At 42.2% G+C, this 21,474-nt stretch overlaps 1 protein-coding gene across 1 annotated transcript in view, besides 2 other annotated features; it reads right to left on the reverse strand.

The window, feature by feature from the left end:
* Positions 1-18,663, reverse strand: part of PDE1C (phosphodiesterase 1C) — an 811,448-nt gene extending 792,785 nt beyond the window's left edge. The window contains exon 1 of the mRNA NM_001322059.2: positions 18,261-18,663. Coding sequence (NP_001308988.1) covers positions 18,261-18,570 — 310 coding nt within the window. The 5' untranslated portion in view covers positions 18,571-18,663. The remainder of the gene's footprint in view (positions 1-18,260) is intronic.
* Positions 12,383-12,583: a silencer, noted in NCBI's record as "peak6468 fragment used in MPRA reporter construct". NCBI's record gives its function as "represses an SCP1 promoter by STARR-seq MPRAs in K562 erythroleukemia cells {active_cell/tissue: K562}" and the evidence as "EXISTENCE:reporter gene assay evidence [ECO:0000049][PMID:32103011]".
* Positions 18,084-18,897: an enhancer, noted in NCBI's record as "H3K4me1 hESC enhancer chr7:32467257-32468070 (GRCh37/hg19 assembly coordinates)". NCBI's record gives its function as "activates a minimal SCP1, AML or CMV promoter by ChIP-STARR-seq in naive and primed H9 embryonic stem cells {active_cell/tissue: H9 hESC(naive and primed)}" and the evidence as "EXISTENCE:reporter gene assay evidence [ECO:0000049][PMID:30033119]".

The following is a 21,474-nucleotide window of genomic DNA, read 5'->3' on the forward strand; positions in this document are numbered from 1 at the left end:
CATATCCAAGTAAAGTTGATTCTAGAAAGGGAGATATGGTTCAATATTTGGAAATATATTGATTATCTGTATTTAATGATCTAAGGAGAAAAGTCATACTGATTCCTGAGAGACTGAAAGGACATTTGACAAACCTCAACTCCTATTGTTAATTTTTAAGCCAAATAAAATAGGAATCTTTGAATAATTTCATATATATATATTCACACATATATCTTCTTAACATAATATTATATTCCTTAATATAGTATTATTTTCCTTATATGTATACATACATATATACATATATGCATATTTGCATATGTACACAAACTTATGTATATATTTATATATACACACACAAATGTATACAGATTCTAATAAAAGTCAGAAATAAGAAGGCTCACTCTCACCACTACCAGTTAACCTGGTCCCAGGAGTAATAGGAATGTAATTATGAATATAACTAAACAAGAGAAAATAAGAAACATAAAAACTAGAAATAACCACATAAAACTATTACATATGATTATATATCTGGAAAACTCATGCTAATGTACCAAAAAACTACTACAAACAATAGGAAAGTTCAGTAAGACACAGCAGTACAAAATCAATATAAAGTAGTTTTTTAAAAACCAACCAGGGTGGGCGTGGTGACACACACCTGTAGTCCTAGCTACTCAAGAGGCTGAGGTGGGAGCATCGCTTGAGCCCAGGAGGCAGAGTGCAGTGAGCTATGATCATGCTACTGCACTCCAGCCTGGGCCACAGAGTGAGACCCGCATCTCTGAATTTAAAAGAAGAGGAAAAGGAGGGTGAGGGCGGGTAGGAAGAGAAGGAGGAGGGGGTGGAGGGGGAGGAGGAGGAAGAAAAAGAAGAGGAAGAGGAGGAGGAGGAGGTGGAGGAGGAGGAAGAGGAAGGAAACGATGGCAATGAGCTGAACTAGCTTCAACAGTTAAAACAGAGCGGTACTGGCATGGAACAGACAGGTGGTCTGTGCTGCTTTTTCTCCACTTGGCCATTATCTACCCATCATTTTCTTCTCTTTTCTGCCTTGCCCTGTGTCCTCACCTCCTTTGCCCTCTGGATTCCTATGGGTTCAGCCAATGGGAGGCACTGGTAGGAGATCAGAAGCTGAGAGAAGAGAGAGCTGAGAGCATTTCTTCCCTGCTCCTCCGCTTCCCGGACAGTGGCTGTGCTCCCTCCATAGCACTGCCTCTGCTGGGCACCTCCTTCTCCAGGTTCCAGCTCTCACAGGCCCTTGATAACTCTATTCCACCCCCTTGCTCCTTCAGGCCCACAAGTGTGATGGCTGTCCACCTTTGCTAGTCTCTGGGTGCTTCAACATCCCTTGTAGGTTCCCTTAACCCTGACTACACCTTCATTAAACTCTTTATTTGAACTATTTGAGCAAAATTCTGTTTCCTACCAGGAACCTAACCTGACTGATTCATAGACTAATGGAACAGAATAGACAATCCAGAAATATGCCCGAGTGTATACAGGAAGTTGCTATATAATAAATTTAGCATCCCAAATCAATGGAGCAAAAATAGACATTTTAATAAATACTGTTGAGACAAATGAATAGCCATCTGGAAAAATTTAGACTTTTAACTCACATGGTTCACCAGGATAGACTCCAAACCAAATTAAATGAAAATCAAATCAAATTATAAAAAGATTAGAAGTGGATGAGCAAACCGTAGTAGAGTCATGCGTCACTTAATAACAGCGATTAGGCGATTTCATTATTGCATGAACATCATAGAGTGCACTTGCACAAACCTAGACAGTATAGCCTACTACATACCTGGGCTATATGGTATCTTCTGTTGCTCCTAGGCTACAAACCTATACAGCATGTTACAGTACTAAATCCTGTAGGCAATGGCAACATAATGGTATTTGTGAACTAAACACAGCTAAACACTTGAAAAAGAAGAGTACAAATGTGGTATAAAAGATTTTAAACGATACACCTGTATAAGGGACTTACTGTGAATGCAGCTCGCAGGACTGGAAGTTGCTCTGGGTGAGTCAGTGAGTGAATGGGGAGTGAATGGGAAGGCCTGGGACATTACTGTATACTACTGTAGACTTCATAAACACTGTACACTTAGGCGACACTAAATTTGTTTTAGATTTTTTTCTTTCCTCAGTAATAAGCTAACCTTAGCTTACTGTAACATTTTTACTTTATAGACTTTTTAAGTGTTTTTAACTTTTTGACTCTTTTGTAATAACACGTAGCTTAAAACACAAACATATTGTACAGCTGTGCAAAAAAAAATTATTTTCTTTATATCCTTATTCTATAAGCTATTTTCATTTCTAAAATATTTTAATTTTTTTTTTACTTTTTTCTTTAAAAACTAAGAAACAAATACATTATCCTAGGCCTACGCAGGGTCAAGATCATCAACATCACTGCCTTCTACCTCCATATCTTGTCCTACCAGGTTTTCAGAGACAAGAGCATGCATGAAGATGTCACCTCCTATGGTAGCAATGCCTTCTTTTGGAACACTTCCTGAAGGACCTGCTTGAGGCTGTTTTACAGGTAACTTTATTTTTAATAAGTAGAGGAAGTACACTCTAAAATAAGCATTGAAAGCAGACCAAATACGGCTGGGCGCGGTGGCTCATGCCTGTAATCTCAGCACTTTGGGAGGCTGAGGCAGGCGGATTACCTGAGGTCAGGAGTTCGAGACCAGCCTGGCCAACATGGTGAGACCCCTGTTTATACTAAAAATACAAAAATTAGCCAGGCATGGTGGTGCATGCCTGTAATCCCAGTTACTTGGGAGGCTGAGGCAGGAGAATCACTTGAACCCAGGAGGCGGAGGTTGCAGTAAGCGGAGATCACACCACTGCACTACAGTCTAGGTGACAGAGTGAGACCCTGTCTCAAAAAAAAAAAAAAAAAGTTTAGCAAACACATAAATCAGTAACATAGTTGTTTATTATCATTATCAAGTGTTATGTAGTATACATAATTGTATATGCTATACTTTTATGTGACTGGAAGCACAGTAGGTTTATACTAGCATCACCACAAACACGTGAGTAATCACCACAGCTGTGATGTCACTAGGCAACAGAATTTTTCAACTCGATTAGCATCTTCTTTGACATACATATGCAGTCCATCATTGCCCGAAATTCGTTATGCAGGACATAACTATACAGTCATACAATGAAATATTGCTCAGCAATTTAATGGAATGAATTATTGACAGGCACATCAACAGAGAATCTCAGAAACATGCAGCATCATAGAAAGCTTGCACAATAGCATTTGTGCTGTATGATTGATTCCATTTATAGGAAATTCTAGAAGGGGTAAGACTAACATAGCACGGAAAAAAAAATTGGAATAGTCATTATACCTAGGGATGGGAGTACAGCGGAGATTGACTGGGAAGGGTCATGAGGAAACTCACGGGGATGAGGGTAATGGCCTGTACCTTGATAGGGGTTTGGGTTACACAAGCGTATGCATTTCTCAAAACTCAGCAAATCTACCCTTAAGATTTTCACATTTTATTGTATATAAATTGTACATCAAAACAAGAAAATAAACAGCAAATATCAAACTCTAGTTAGTGGTATGCTTGTGGGCTTACGTAGGGGGGAATGCATGACACCTGCAACTTAATTTTAAATGTACAAAATTAAGATAAATGAAAGGATAGGTAGACAGATGGATAGATAAATAGATATGTGATAAGGCAAGTATATAAAATGTTAATGGTCGTATCTGAGTAGTAGATGATAGGAGTGTTTACTATAAAATTCTTTCAACCTTGCTGTGTGTTTTAAATTTTTAATAATAAAATGTTTTAACACTGGAAGAAAAATCCTAGCACATCCTACCACACAGATGAATCTTTGAGACATTATGCTAAGTGAAATAAGTCAATCACAAAAGAGCAAATACAATATGATTCCTCTTACACGCAGGACCCAGAGTAATCACACTTACAGACAGAAAGTAGAATGGTGGTTGCCAGGGACTTCAGGAAGCGGGAAATGGGGAGATACTGTTTAATAGGCACAGAGTTTCAGTTTGCCAAGATGAAAAAAATGCTATGGATGGATGTTGGAGATGGTTGTACAACAGTGTGTATGAATGTACTTACTGCCACTGAACTGTACACTTAAAAATGATTAAAATAGTAAAGATTGTTACTTCTGTAAATTATAAATAATTTTTCAAATTAAAAAAGCTAGAAGGAAGCATGAAAAAATCCTTTATAACCTTGGATAAGATTAGAGAAGTCATTATAACTATGTCTCAGAATCCAGGGAAGTTTATCACAGAATTGTTTATAATAGAGAGAATTGTAATCAGCCCCCAAATCCATCAATTAAAGGGTGGAGGGACTGGGTGCGTTGGTTCATGCCTGTAATCCCAGTACTTTCAGAGGCTGAGGCAGGAGGACCACTTGCAGCCAGGAGTACAAGATCAGCCACAGCAACATAGTGAGACCCCATCTTTATAAAAAATTTGACAATTAGCCAGGCGTGGTGGTGTGTGCCTGCAGTCTGAACTACTAGGAAGGCTGAGGCAGGAGGATTGCTTGAGTCCAGGAGGTTGAGGCTGCAGTGAGCTCTGATTGTTCCACTGCACTCCAGCCTGGGCCATAAAGCAAGACCCAGTCTCAAAAAAAAAAAAGGAAAAATTAAAAAATAATAAATAATAAAGGGTAGAGGGGTAAATTATACTACCTACACAGAACACTCATTAAAAAAAGATGTATAACTATATTTATATCAAAAAATGCCCACAAAATAAAAGTAAAAAACATTACATTATAAAATAGCATGTTTCATCTGATACCATTTGTATAAAATGTATACATATACAGTATGTGTATATGTGCCTAAAGAGATGCTTGGAATGGTATTCACCAAAATGTTCACAGTAGCTATCTTTAGCTGGTGAGTTTGTTAGTGCTTTATTCCACATTATTTGACATTTTTGCAACAAGCATGCTTTTTTAAAAGAGAATGAAACCATTTTCAACTCATTCTGACATATTAAAAGAAGTTGGCATTTGGTAGCATCAAGTATCTCCTTTCCAGCTGATCAGAATGGCAACTTCACAAAAAGTGGAGAGAGGAATCTGACTGATGCCTAAACAGTTATCGGTGCTTCCCTTGTAATATGTGACAGTGACAGCACCATTCACAGATTCAAAAAGTGCAGTAATACAAACAACTTAGACACAGGTGAAGATGACCCAGAAATGGCTTTAGAGAAAACAATGATGCCAATGATAAAAAAAAAAAAGCCTGTAAAAAGATTCAATAAAATTGTTTTATGGAGTATAAAATGGAAAAGTAATATTCTAAGTTAATGTATTTTATGCAACTTGAGATATTTAAATAGATGTAACAAAAGTAATAAGATAAATATTAAAAGGACACATGGGACCTTTTTCTAGCCCCTTCAAAGTCTGTATATTCAAGTAGGTCATTTAAGAAAATACACTTCTGGCCAGGCCCAGTGGCTCATGCCCTTAATCTCAACACTTTGGGAGGATCGCTTGAGGCCAAGTATTCGAGATCAGCCTGGGCAACCTAGCAAGACTCCTGTCTCTACAAATAAATAAATATGGTTGGACACAGTGTTTCATGCCTGTAATTCCAACACTTGGAGAGGCCGAAGTGGGCAGATTACTTGAGGTCAGTAGTTCGAGACCAACCTGGACAACGTAGCGAAACCCAGTATCCACTAAAAATTCAAAAATTAGCCAGGCATGGTGGCATGCACCTGTAGTCCCAGCTACTTGGGAGGCTGAGGCAGGAGAATAGCTTGAATCCAGGAGGTGGAGGTTGCAGTGAGCCGAGATCACGCCACTGCACTCCAGACTGGGCAACAGAGCAAGACTCCGTCTCAAAAATAAATAAATAAATAATGTTTTTTAAATTTAAGAATAGATGTTTGAGGAATCTTCTCAAAGAGGAAAAAAAGAGGACCTGCCTTATATTGGGGATTGTTTCATTATGGGACACCTTTAGAAGCAGCCTGGAGTGCAGGCAAGAGTCTGGGGCCCCTCCTCACCGGCTTCTCTTACCCTCCTCCCTTTCCCTACATTAGGGAGCCTGAATCCGAGGACTGGGGATAACAGAACAAAAGGCTGGCGGTGGGAGAGGGGCCAGGGAACAAAGCGCTACGTCCTTTCCTTCTCCCTCGGGAGCACACAATTAGTGTGGCTGTGGAAAAAGTGACAGAATGGAAAAAGCAACAACTCTGGCTGGCTGGCTTATAGGCTAGTCATCTCCAAGGTCATGTGAAGGGTAAATAAAATCCCTGCAAAAGAAGAGTGCCCCCTCCAACCCTTTCTCCCTGAATTGAGCAGGAGCTGGTTCTTAGGGAAAGGAGCTGAGAATTCTGAAAGGGGAGTGGCGGTGTGACCAGGAGCACAGCACAGAGGGCCCAGGTGCCAGGCTCCACCAGGGTGGAGGGGCAACGGTGCCCTCCCTGATGCCAGCACACGCCCGCCTCCCCCAGGCAGCCTTCAGATGTGATGTGACTTGACATGCCTGCCACTAGAGCCTGGGAGTTGGTCATGAGCTCATGGATTTACAAGCTGACAGGTGCTGACATGTAAGGGCCTGGGCCACGCCAGCAGGACACATTGAGTATAACTCATCTAAGGTCGGAGAGTCCTCCCAGAACCTCCCCTTTCTGATTCCCCCTGGACACAGAGACTCCGTGGGTGCTCAGGGAATGCCCCGGACGTACATATTCAAGGATAAGGATGAGACGGGACTCTGGGCACTCCCTGCCCTGGAAGAGGGAAGGATGTGGAGCCATCCCCCCTCCCTGTTCCTCCAGGAGACTCACAATGTAAGCTTGGAGGGGTTTCACCAAGAGGCCACTCCCTACTGAGAAACAGACCAATGCATTAGGCACCTCGAGACATTTTGATGGCCATTTCACAGCCATTTTGACATGGTGGTTTTAATGTGGCCAATTTTTTTTTAAACTTGTGATTAAACTATACATACAATTTCATCAGCTAGCCTCATCCCCTGCCACCCACCCATTCCTGATTCTCATTCAGTCCACAGTCTCTTCAAGGTGTAGGGAAGGTGAGCATGGGATGACAGACAAGATGAAGCTCAGGGATGCTGTCAGGAATTGGGGCAGGTGAGAGATGGGGCAAGGCTCAGGCTCAGGATGGGGGTCTGCACACATCCTTTGGAAAAAGTGAAGAGTCTGGGGGTCAAGTCTGTATGGTTAAAACACACTTCTCTAAATCAGAACAGGTCTATGGGGAAATGAGTGCAGAGGAACGGGTATCATCTCAGTATGAGGAGAAATTGCCAACAGTAAAAAGCTGTGACCTTGGGAGAGATCGAGGGGCAACTCGCCAGTGGGTCTACAGAGGCCCAGAGTACCGCCACATATGGGAGCTAGCCATAAACACCCACCCCATGCCTGGCTCTCCCAGCCGACACATAGCACAGACTAAGGAGAACAACAATGCTTTTAAATGCTGCCACCTCCCTCAGAACAGACTAATCTAGCCTGTGTGCTCAAAAGGACCAAAGCTGCGAGAAGCATTTACCACGAGCTGAGCGGTCCCAGGGAGCATAGTCAGTTCTGTGGCACAGGCCCCAAACCAAGAAAAAGCTGGGTGCTCAGGGCACCCAGAAAAGCTGGTACAAAGCATGAGTGAATCCCAGTTGTAACTGATTTCTTTTAGAAAGTGATGACTTTTTTTTTTTTTTTAACCAGTGATAACTGCTTAGCCTTAGTGGTAAGGAAGCCCTACTAAAAACATCCCACTACTGCTAATAAAATCTCACATGTCTAATAATAAAAACACCTGTTGAGCACTGACTCTGTGCCCAGCACCATGCTGAGAGCTTTGCATTAAACCCTTAAACTCACAAACAACTCAATAAATGGAATTTTTTGCATCCCCATTTTACAGATGAGGAATCTGAAGTTCACAGGGTTCGAGTAACTTGCCCCATTAATCATGGGCAGAGCCCAGATTCTAACTCCATCTCTCTCACTGCAGAGCCTGCCCGTGTAACTATAAGCAATATTAACTCCCAGGGAAAAGTTCTATTTTTTTTTTGGTACTATAATCCCAATTTAGTAAAAAAAAAAAAAAAAAATCATACTGTGCACATAAAAAAGGAGAGGGTTATAAGCAAGCATCAAAGTATCTGTTGTATTAAGATGATGATCTTTTAGGCGCTTTCTTCATTTATCTCAAGTTTTTCTTGATATTGTAATTCTATTATTTTACTTGTATTTCAACTTTAACCAAACAGAAATCATGTGACTCAACGTAGTAATTTGAATGCTATCTCTTGTTGACCTATCAATTTATTTGCCAATTATATCTAGACTGCAACATTAAAATATTATAAAATGTACTTCTGGAAACTTGTGTTTTTGTTTGTTTGTTTTTGTTTTGTTTTGGTTTGGTTTTGAGACAGAATCTCACACTGTGACCTAGGCTAAAATGCAGTGGTATTTAGAGCTCACTGCAGCTTCAAACTCCTGGGCTCAAGTGATCCTCCAGCCTCAGCCTCCCAAAGTGCTGGGACTACAGATGTGAACCATCATGCCCAGCCTTACTTCTGGAAACTTCCTCAGTACTATGGTCTTCCCCACATACTATTTCTTTCCATGGCAGTAGCAAGTTGGCCAATTATTTTTTTATCAGCCTCAAGCTGCTACTGATGTCTCAGGCAGTTCAGCACAAGGCTTAAGACCTGGGTTCAAGTAAGACCCCCGTACTCACTAGATGTGCAACCTCAGATAATTCCCCAAGCTTCATTGTCCTCATCTAAGAAAAGGAGATAACAATGGCACTTACCTCTTAGTTTAATGCTGGTGCATGAAGTATGCCTGGCACAGGGTAAGTGCTCAATAAATGTTAACGTCTATTGTTCCTATGAAATATAATGATATGATTGTTTTATTTGCACTTTTTCAATCATTAAAAAAAGTCACTTTCCAAATAGCATCCTTGCGTGACAATAATCAGATATGGGAAGATACGGCAGCACACATTTCCAGATTAAGATTCACTTTTTCCTTCAGAACAGAGGCTTTATTTTTGAAGGGATGCCCTCATATTTGTAACATTTTTTGTCTCTTGGACCAGAAGAAGGTACTGAGTTATTAGGGTGTCAAAATCCAGGAAGTAATAAAGTCCCAAACAAACAAACAAACAAAAAATTAAAAATTAAAGTCCCAAAGAGCAGCCAGACAGGGCATGAAAAACTTTTTCCAAACTGCCCTGCATGTAATCTTCAAAGCAGCATGTAAATGAGGTCCACCCGACTCCTGGAGCATTTAAGCTGCAAGCAAAACCCACTCAGATACCAAGAAGAATAAATGAATCTGTTATGTGTGTACTGATCTAATGGCTTCTTTTTTCCCATTTTGTCTTCAGTTTTACTGAGGTCTCTTAGGAAGATCTCTGACATCAGTAAGGGAGCCCAGTACTCTGACTGGCAGAGGAAAAAATGGCAACCTGTTAGTTTAATTAACAAACTAAAATTAATAATTGGTTAAAATATTTTTTAAATATCTTTACTCAGGTTCAAGGAGTTTAAAGTGGAGGTGATATCTGAGATGGGCAAGTTTGAAATCTACAAGCTGGGGAGAAGAAAATACAGGGGAACAAAGCTTGGAAGAAAGAGCCTGTTACTGAATTTAGACTTCTACTTTAATTCATATATTGTTCAAGTTAACAATTTCCTAGTATCCTCCAGAATATTTATAAGACAGAACTTGCTAAAAAGAGTACTCAAAAAATAGTAGGTATAGAGAACAACAGAGAGAAAGAGAGAGAGCAAAAAAGCAGCCCCTCTAACTACTCCCTCCCTACCCGGAGAGTCTCCTTTGGAGGTTAACTTCAGCTCCCTCAGGAGAGTGAGCCCTTGGGGTATGGGGTGACCTCATTAGTAGCTTCACAAAAATCCAGTCATCTGAGAATAAACCTGAAATTAGTTACTGTTCTGGCAGTGAGTGGAGGGCACGGCAGGCTCCTGCTACTTCTAGACTAAAGAATGTTCCCAACCTTCCTGGCAGTGGCTGCCTAGCCCTGGGCTTCGGCTCCCTCCTTCTGGGAAATGACAATATTTTGCAACTTGGCCACATTTTTCCTTGGCTGAGAAGGAAAAACCCAGGGCTTTGCTGCTAACATAGATGCAAAAGAGCATGCCTCTTGCGCTCTTGGTGCTTGTGCTCCACCATGACAGCTTAGACACCACCAGTGCGGAGATGTAAGATGCACACACAGAGGCCAGGATCTGGTTCCTAATCCTAACTCATCCTGTCCGCTGTGTGACCAGAGCAAGTCCTGGCACTACTCTGAACCTCAGTTTCTTTATTTGTAAAAATGGGGTAATAGGCTGGGCATGGTGGCTCACACCTGTAATCCCAGCAGTTTGGGAGGTGGAGGTGGGCAGATCACCTGAGGTCAGGAGTTCAAGACCAGCCTGGCTAACATGTCAAAACCCTGTCTCTACTAAAAATACAAAAATAGCCAGGTGTGGTGGCATATATATATATATATATATATATATATATATACACACACACACACACACACACACACACACACACATATATATGTGTATATATATACACATATATATGTGTATATATATACATATATATGTATATATACATATATATGTATATATATGTGTATATATATACATGTGTATATATATGTGTATATATATACATGTGTATATATATGTGTATATATATACATGTGTATATATATGTGTATATATATATGTGTATATATATGTGTATATATATATGTGTATATATATGTGTATATATATATATACACACACACACACACACACACATATACACACACACATGTAATCCCAACTACTAGTGAGGCTCAGGCAGAAGAATCACTTGAACCCAGGAGGTGGAGGTTGCAGTCAACCGAGATGGTGCCACTGCACTCCAGCCTTGGCAACAGAGCAAGGCTCCATCTCAAAAAAAAAAGGGGGGGTGGTAATAATAGTGCTTGTCTTAGCTACCTCAAAGGTTTGTCGTGAGATTTGAGTAAGATTGTAATTGTTCAAGTAATGTGAAAACTGTGCAAATGCAAGTTATTTGTATTTTTTTTAATTTGACAAACTAAAATTAATAACTGGTTAAAATATTTTTTTTAAGTATCTTTACTCAGGTTCAAGGAGTTTAAAGTGGAGGTGATATCTGAGAAGGGCAAGTTTGAGCAGAGCCCACATCTGTTTCCTGTAAGATTTGCTCATTAGCTTCAATTGCTTCCAACCATGGCTCAATGTGAGAGTCCGTTTTCCTGATCTCAGCCATTCCACAAAAATCAAATCAGTGTCTGATGTGTGCATGCTGTTTCAAAGCCCTGAATATCCATGATCTCACCTGATCCCAGCTCTCAGTCTATCCATGAGCAAGTCACTTGGACTCTCAAAAGGATGCTGTGAACACCACAGAGGGGTAGTTTTCAAAGTCAGGGTTTTCACCCCTAGAAGGCGGATTAAAACTAACACACACACACACACACACACACAGCACTAGGTTGAATAATTTGAGTAAATTACAGAAAATATAACACTAAGGATGACATAAATATGTAGGACTGTGTCCTACCTCAGAAGTAGGTGATCTAGGGCCTGAACCCTCTAAGGCCACATGAACTGCTTTGTGGATTTTGCTGGCCTCCCCGCGGCCTTCAGCCTCTCTCTCATCCCACTCCCTTTCTCTTCCCTGCCTTCCTCACTCCAGTTATTGTTTAATTTCCATGGAAGAATCATCATGGCATTGTGGAAGGAGAACTGGATTACAAATCAGATTCACCTACACGGATGATCCGTTAATGTGTGTGTAACCAATATTGACTAAATGACTAGCAAGTCCCAAGGCATGTGCCAAGTACCTTGCATAAATTGCCTTATTTAGGTGAGATCAATACAATTTCCATTTTCCAGATCAGAAAATGGGCTCAGAGAAATTAGTGCCTATAGCCAGGAAGTATGGGAGCCAATGATCGAGATTCCAGAGCCTCCTTCTCTGACACCAGGCTGCCTGGAAGAATTAATCATGGGACTCCTGAAAGTCTAACTGCAAGTGATCTAGGATAAAGCATGTCATCAATAATAAGTAAAAAGTTGATTTAAATTCCCTTCCCTTATTAAAAGGGAACAGTAAAGCCATCTGCCCCATCTACCTCAGAAAACTGTCGTGAAGATCAAATGTTAAAGAGGCTGTCTAGGGGCTTTATAAGCTGTAAAGTGCTGTACAGAAGCTTCCTAACATTTCTTCCCCACATCTTACACCCAGCAGGAGCAAATGTACCACTGATGGCTAGGCAGGTTACTTGATTCTGCCCCAAATTGAGACTGACTTTGAAAGCAATGAATCCAGTAACCGCCAGGAAAGAGAATCAAAAGAAAGTGAGCCCGAGACTTTTCTGCCTTGGTAAGACTCTGGGACCCCAACTTGCATCCTAGGTGAAAGGAAGTGTGTTGGGGAAAGCAGTTCCTAGAGGTAATGCCACACCCACAGGGGCCCCACACTTGCCCATTACAGTGCATTCTCATCGGTATTGCCTGTCACTAACCTAAGCTTGAGAAGGCTGCTCGTGTCTATTTAGATTAACTCAGCGCAGGGACACACGTTGCAGGTGCTACAAATGTTGAAGGTTAAGGCACAGGTGGTGTCACTACTTCACCATCTACACACCAATGTTTATTATTATTTTTTGAGTTAATCTTTGTTTTTCATTTGTTTATAATTTCAACTTTAATTTTAGATTCAAGCCCCATATGTGCAAGTTTGTTACCTGGATATATTGCATGGTGCTGTGGTTTGGGGTACAATTGAGCCAGTCACACAGGTAGTGAGCATAGTACCCAATAGGTAGTTTTTCAACCCTTTCCCCCCCACCTGGCCTCCCCCCTCAGCTAGTCCCCAGTGTCTATTGTTGCCATATTTATGTTCCTGTCTACCCAATGTTTAGTTCCCACTTATAAGTAAGATCATGTATACTTGGTTTTCTATTTCTGCATTAATTCACTTAGGATAATGGCCTCAAGCTAAATCCATGTTGCTGCAAAAGACATGATTTCATTCTTTTTTATGACAGCACATACCAATCTTTAAAATCACAAAAGTTTTGTTTAACTTTCGCATTGGTCATCTTTTCAATTAAGCTAAAATTTACCCTAAAATGTTAATCCCAGATTAAAGGCATCACTGGTAAAGGATCATAAGTATCCTGATGTTTTAGAAATTGGCAAGAGAGTGGTTGCAAAAGGGCTAGGGAGGTGAAGGAGAGAGATTAGATAAAGAATAATCTGACTTGAATCCAGAATCTCTTTCCTCCACAGCACTGCCCAGATCCCAAGAACTCACTAATGGCTAACACAATACACCCAATATCTACTCGCCCTCCCAGTGATTTCTACTCGTAGAACAGCAGTTTTCAAACTGTGACCCTTTGACTAGCAGCATTCACAGCATCTAGGAACTGGTCAGAAATGCAACCCTCAAGTCCAGGTGTGATGGCTCACACTTGTAATCCCAGCACTTTGGGCGGCTGATATGGGAAGATTTCTTGAACCCAAAAGTTCAGGACCAGCCTGGGCAACATAGTGAGACCTTGTCTCTACAAAAAGAATCAAAAAATTAGCTGGGCATGGTGGCTTCCACCTGTGGTCCCAACTACTCAGGAGGCTGAGGTAGGAGGATTGCTTAAGCACAGGAGGTTGAGGCTGCAGTAAGCTGTGACTGCATCACTGCACTCCAACCTGGACAAGACAGTGAGACCCTGTATCAAAAAACAAATAAAAAATAAAAAAGAAGAAATGCAACTCTCAGGTTGCTTGTCAGACTTACCAGAAAGTCGAGAGGAAGGACCCAAGATTGTGTGTTTCAGCAAGCTCCTGGGTGACTGTGATACACACTTTGCTGGTAATAGAATCACCTGGGAAATTTGGTTAAAATGCTAAGACTCTGGTCCTATCCCATGGCAACAAGCCTGAGCGTCTGTAATTATCTCTCCAAGTGATTTTGATAAACACCAATGTTTGAAATCTACTGATCCTAGTATCTGAGAGGACCCAGCTAGAGACAAATAGTGGTAACTTCACCAAGACTCACAGAAGACGTAGATGGAAACCAAGAAGCAATGAGTCAGCAAGACAATGCTCTAACACTGCTATTTGATGAATGTTGGCTACACTTTGAAATCAGCACTTGACACATCTTTTCAAAATATTAAAACAGCAAGACAAGAAAAGATAGTAACTGAAAAGGAAAAGAGCTTCAATAATTTTAATACACAGATCATTAACCAAAAAAAACACTTTAATCAATAATGTCAGGATCTCTCTGCAACCAGAGGAATTTCTAACAAATGCTAGGAGCCTCTCATAATCAACTTCAGATTATTAAGCAATAAAGAATAGCTGTGAACTGTTGTTTGTAATGTGTTTTATTTAATTACTTGTTTGTTCTGAGGTAACTTCTCATTGAAAATGTGGTAAGGTGCTCCCTCTTTTCCACTAGTGAGATCTGAAAGCAAAGCTTTGAAAACAGACAAACCTAGAAAACATCTGCACCTGACATATGCCAGGTCCCCACACGGGCTTTGGTACATTATCTCATTTAATCTTCACAACATGATGACAGAGAAATAGTGGAACATCCTTAACACAACAAATCCCATAGGCTCAAAGCAGTTAAATTTCCATGAGAGACAGCTGACTTAATACCCTGAGCTGTACTTTCCCATTCAAGTTCCCTGGCTTTAATTACCATCCCAGTAATACCCAAGGTGACAGTTTCTCTCTTAATACTCTGACACCTCCCTTCCAGGACCAATGTACTTTCCCTTGGTTCCTCTGACCATAGCTGGAACAAGATAAAACTTTCAAAAGACATTACTAATAATAAACTAAGTCGGGTGCAGTGGCTCATGCCTATAATCCCAGTACTTTGGGAGGCTGAGGCGGGTGGATCACTTGAGCCCAGGCCTGGAGGCTAAGGCAGACAGATCACTTGAGCCCAGGCCTGACAACATGGTGAAACCCTGTCTTTACAAAAAATAGATATATATAAATTAGCTGGGTGTGTTGGTGCATGCCTGTAGTTCCAGCTACTCAGGAGGCTGAAATAGGAGGATCGCTTGAGCCTGGGAGGTAGAGTTTGCAGTGAGCTGAGATTGCAGTGAGCCGAGGTGGTCCCACGGCACTCCAGCCTGGGTGACAGACTAAGACCCTGTCTCAAAACTAAAATAAAAATAAATAAATAAACTAAAGAGTTAACAAACGGAAAATAAGCACACAGCATTTAAGACAAGCAGCATAGAGAAAAGGTAAGAACACAAGTTTTAGAACCAGACAACCTGTGTTTAAAGTATGTCATTTACTAGCTGTGTGACTAATTAACCTCTATATGCCTTAATGTCTTCATCTATAAAGTGATAATAAAAGCATCCATCCCACAATCTCATAAAATAGCATCCAGCAATACTGTTTATGTATATATACCTATACACACAGACATTATATTATATTACATATATATATATTCATATATATTCATCTTGGCTTATAAAGTACAAGTTTTAGATTGCAGCATAACTAGTTTACTCCCAGGTTCTCTGCTATTCCACACAATATCTGGAGAAGTTCAATCTAGTCCAGTAAAAGGCTACCTAGCTTCACAGCTAAGGACAATTCATTTCATTTTTACAGATGATAAAAATGAGCCTCATCTGCAATTCCAGCTACCTAAACCCACCTCTCTTCAAAGACGTGAGCTCAAATACCACTCTTTTCAAAAAGATCAAAATATAGAAATTGAATAATTTTGCATAAGTATCCTAGGTGATATAAAACTCAGAATGTAATTTTTAATTGCATATATTTCTTATGAAATAAAATGGAAGGGATTGAAAAAAATTCTTGTATAATCAAAAAGTTAAAGTTAAAAGTATTTCCAAGGTGTCGTCAAATCCAGAACGAATCTAATTCAATGAAAATTGCTAGAAATTGGTTTTCTGGCATTATAAATGTGTGAATAAATTGCAATATCCAAATCTCCTGCCCAAACCGGTGAAAGCAGAAGAAGAAAAATAGCCAGGTGCAGCACTTTTGGAGACCAACATGGGTGGATTGCTTGAGCCCAAGGGTTCAAGACCAGACTGGGCAACTGGAGAAATCTTGTCTCTACAAAAAACATGAAAATTAACCAGGCATGGTGGCATGTACCTGTAGTCCCAACTACTCAGGAGGCTGAGGTGGGAGGATTGCTTGAGCCCAGGAGGTTGAGGCTTCAGTAAGCTGTGCTCGCACCACTGCAGACAGTGCTCTGGATGACAGAGCAAGACCCTGTCTCAAAAAAAAAGAAAGAGGAAGGAAGGAAGGAAGGAGAAAAAATGTGGTAATATCCTTTCATGGTTACATATGTTTGTAATTGAACTGATATCTCCCACACACAAAAAATATATATATTAATGAGTTTCACAAAGGAAGCCCATGTTTCATCCTATATTAGGTGGACCATGACAGATTTTATAAAAACTAAATATGTATCTGCACATTTAAAAATATGAATTTTCCTTGATAATGCCTTACTCTTGTACTATATTTATGATTTGCAACACATTTTTGCCTCCATAATTTCCTTTGAGTTTCATGGCATAGAAAATGGTGTAACTATATTTGTACTTTTTTTTTTTTTTTTTGAGATAGGGTCTTACTTTGTCACCCAGGCTGGAGTGCAATGGCATGATCTCAGCTCACTGCAGCCTCGACCTCCTGGGATTAAGCTATCCTACTGCCTCAGCCCCCTAAGTAGCTGGGACTACAGGCATGCACCATCATGCCCAGCCAGTGTTTTGAGTTTTTGGTAGAGATGGAGTTTCGCCATGTTGCCCAAACTGGTCTTGAACTCCTGAGCTCAAGCAATCCACCTCTCAAAGGGCTGGGATCACTGCACCTGGCTGTACTCATTTTAAAAGAGCAGATTGTACACGCTTAGAAAATGTAAGTAGCCCACCCAAGGATACTGAGCTTAGCAGAACCCAGGTGTCCTGACTCCTGATCTGGTTCTCTTCCCATTAATACCACAAAGATATGTCTTCTGGATGGAAGAAATAAACATGTTTCACAATGATAAATCTCCCCTTGAAAGGACAGAGTGTTTGTGTCTTCTTTTAATATTTTGAAAACTTTCAAGGGAATAAGGATATATGGATCCTCATCTCTCAGTAAGTTAAACTGTAAGCCAGTCCCCCTCACTATCCACTTAATCTACTGAATCCTTCTTGAAAAGTCAACAGACCATCCCCGTGAGCACCACAAATTTGCTTGGGGTGAAGTGAGGATTCATGTATGAGACCAAAAGTCCAGAGATGTATTTAGCAACATTTCCAGTGTAAGAGATTTTTTTAAATCACATATACAAACTAAGGCATTTTCCTCCCACTTGCACAAAACAGGATCTGCCCCGACGAAATGGAATCTTTGAATATCTCAAACTAAAATTTTTAAAGTGAGTGAAGTTTCACTATTCCCTCAGCTGAAGATGTTCAAAGATCTGGTTCATGTGTAATACGGAATATTTGCATAGTATTTTACAGTTTTCACAGCCTTTCTACTTACATTGTGTGGTCAGATTTTCCAGCTCCCTAGTGAGACGGAATTATTATCATCCCTGTGTCACAGATGAAAAAACGGAGGCACAGGGGGAGTATCTTGCCCAAGATCGCAATGAAAGCAGCACGTCCACCTCTGACTTCAAATCGTGTGTGCTCTTTTCACTTATCCTATGTTATCTACCCTAAAGGCAAGTCTTCCCCCAACTGCACACCTCAAGTCCTTTCACATGTGTAACTAGGTCTGGACAAGCAGGAATTTCTGGCCCTTTTCCCAATTCCCGTGGGAGGAGATGGGAAAGGTGCTTCTTTTATCCTTGCCTTTCCAAGACAACAAGAAAGGCTTCTCCCCATGGTGCCGGCCCCGGTACTAAGCTGGGGAAAGGGATCCTTAGGGTGTAAACTGTCTTGCCACCTACTGTTTAAACCTCTGTGAAAGATAAGCCTTCTGAAATAGCCTCCTATTCAACCCAGAAATCAATCCTAACTTGTAAAAGAAGTTATGGACACGAGGACGAGAAACGGGAAATCCTGCGGGAGATAGCGCTTTCTCTTTTCCCCCAGAAAGTCTCCAGGCAGCAGCTCTGTGAGATCCTTAAGCAAGGTAAGGAAACTCACCCGCTGCGCTGCGGCTTCGTGGCCAGCAGGGCTGGGACATACTCGCCTCACGCTTCAGCACCGGGGACAGCTCCTGCCTCGCCAACTTCGGCAGCTCTTCTCGATGTCTCGCCGCGGGCTGTGCCTCACAGGCTACGGGAGGGGAGAGTGTCTCCCCACGCCGGGGTCCCGGCCTCTGGGTTTTAGGGAGCGCGAATGGGTCTCCGACAGCAACGGGAGCAGCCGGTGGCGCCTCAGGCTGCGGTGGCAACGAGCCCGACTGCACTACGGCTTTGCGGGACCGCGCCAGCGCGGAGGAGACCGAGCCCATCTCAGCGGGCCGGGCCGGACCCAGGTGAGCGGCCCTGGCTCCCCGAGGAATCCACGGCCCTCGCCTGCCGAAGGCTTACTCCCTCCTGGTGCCGGGGCGCCCCCAGCTGTCTGCTCCGCCTCTGACCCTGCGGGCTGCAGCGAAGGCTGCGCGCCCACCCGCGGGGGACCGGAACGGAGGGTAATGCGGGCGGTGTCCGCGCCCGCCTAACAGTCTGGGGTGGATGGGACTTGGGGAGTCGCTATATAGAGGCTGTCCGGAGGCTTTACTGGAAATTGAGGGGAGGAAGGGGCGTGGCATTAGGCGAGGGATACTTTTTTCTCCACTTTCTGCACTTGGTTCACCTGAGGCCAAAAGCTTGGAGGGTCCTTCCTGTTCCTCTTCGCACGTCTGGGCCACCTCTGTCCCCCAGGAAGATGGCAGGTTTAGCGAGGGCGGAGAAGGGACCGAGATTTGTTTTCTTCTCAATTTCTCCTCTTAAAGCCAATATCACTGCTCTTCTAGGCTGTGCTTCCCCTGGAGCCCACCTTTCCTGTTGGCGGCTAAGACCAGAGAGGGAGGCGGAAGTGCACGGGGAGTCAGCTCCGCTAGTTCTCCGCGGGAGAGCAAGCTGGGAGGCGCCAGCCAGCCCTGGGGGCGCCCAAGACGGGAAGCCAGAGCAGCCTGGGGCCCTATTAATAGGCCTGCTTTGCTGGCTGGGGTGAGGTCACTGGTCCTTCTCTGCCTGCAGTGTGGTGGTGCCTACGTAGAGCAGAAGCAGGAAGGGAAGCCTGGGATGATGTTTCAGCTAAAAGAGGTTGCCCAGAAAGGTTTTAGGTCTTGCCCAAGGTCATAGGCAGTTAGTGGTGGAGCTGGGTCTTGTGCCTGGGACTCCTCTTTCTAGAACCAGTCTCCTGTCCACACTGCTCCCCATTCCAAAGGTTTGCAGGCATTGAATTTTGAAGCAAGACAATTGTGCAATACACAGCATATCTGAGGTTGGAATGTGTGAGGGGAGAGTGACTATGGTATTTCTCAGCCAGCCTGGGAAGCTTTCCTCCTCCCCATCCAGTGTCAGCGCTCTTTCTGTGACAGAATGATGTGATTCTTGACACTGTCATCTGTAAAATGGCATACCAACAAGTAAATGTAAAGTAGTATTATCATGGAAACGCTTTCTGAACCACTGAGCCAATCAGATCAACAAACATCAAAATGGGAGAGGAAGTTAAAAAAGTCCTTTTTAAATCCTCAACTGGTACTTAGAGAAGAGACAAGTTGGGGGATTAACTGGGATGGGACAGCAATGGAACAGCACAGCTCACTCACCTTGGCCTTGTTTCCTATGAGATAGGCAGAAGCTCGAATCCTAGGCCCTGAGCCAACATTACATAGAAGCCCCTCCAACATTTAGAGGCACACATACCATGGGCCACCACACCTTGCAAGGGCTCCGGGAGTGTCTTCTCACCTCTGCCAATATCAGGGACCCACCTTCCTATGTGTATTAGGGTTCTCCAGAGAAACAGTGTATATACATAAAGAGAGAGATTTATTATAAGGAATTGGCTCACATGGTTATGGGGGCTGAGAAGTCCCACAGTCTATAGTTAGCAAGTTGGAAACCCAGGAGAGCCAGTGGTATAAGTTCCAATCTGAGTCCAGTCACAAAGTCAGGGGAAGATAGATGCACCCGTTCAAAGATAGGCAGAGAGAATGAATTCTCTCTTACTCTGCCTTTTTGTTCTATTTGGGCATCTAACAGATTGGATGAGGCCTATCCACATTGGGGAGGGTGATCTGCTTAACTCATTTTACTGATCCAAATGTTAATCCCATCCAGAAACACCCTTACAAACACACCAAGAATAATGTTTAAACAAATATCTGGGCACCCTACAGCCCAATCAAGTTGACACATAAGATTAGCCATTGCAACATGTGTTTGTATGGCTATGTTCCTTGTAACTTTTAAAATCACTTTTTATTCTTTTCTTGCTCACCTGATGAACTAATAGGCCCTGGTATAAATCCTCACTCTGGGCAAATACTCTATTAGAAAGAAAGCTCCCTGGGCAGGCATTTCCTCTTCTTGCACCATGACTTGAATTTCCTACAAACCAGACATGGGCATCATTAGCAATAATGCAAAGGTGGGCATGGAAGGAAGTAAATGTTCTGGACTACCCTAAGTGATATATTCCACTTGGCTGTACTGGTTGTGAAAATGCATAAATATAATACTTCTGTATGGGATGGTAAATAGCTGCTGCCCTAAACCCACCTACCACCCTGGCTAACCCAGGCCTTTCCCCAGGATGGACACACACACAAACACACATACACCCATCTCATATCTGGCAATTAAGGGATTGATGTCTGGTGGAACAAGGGACCTGAATACCATGGCCATTATCTGATTGGTTGAAGCCGAGGCCATATTCTTCTTATCTATTTTGAATGTCCCATCCCTTACAAAGTAAGAGCTCAGTGAATGTCAGTGTCTTTCCCCTTTCCCTTCCCTTCTTATTATTATCCATCTGTTAAGTACCTGCTACATGGCCTGCACTTTGCCTAATGACCCTTTAAGATAAGTTTTCTACATTTTTCCAGATAAGGAAGTAAATTCATCATCCAGAGTCAAATGACTGCCCAAGGTCACCGTGATAGTAAGTTGCAGACTCAGGTTTTATATTCAGCTCTTCACTGAGCCCTTACTCTGTAAGAGGTGGGGCGTTCAAAATAGAAAAAAAGACTATGGTCATTTATGTCTCCCTTTGTCTCCCTTCCTGAGCAAGCTGCACCCCACAACCCAGTTCTTCCATAAGGAGGGATGCTCTGGAAGGGCTTTGTGACTCTGGGGATAAGGTCTTCTCCCATTTCCTATCATTTCCTATCCCTATGTTTAGGAAAAGCCTGCTCCCT

The sequence above is a fragment of the Homo sapiens genome, chromosome 7 (genome assembly GCF_000001405.40).
Source record: "Homo sapiens chromosome 7, GRCh38.p14 Primary Assembly".
Classification (NCBI taxonomy): Eukaryota; Metazoa; Chordata; class Mammalia; order Primates; family Hominidae; genus Homo; species Homo sapiens.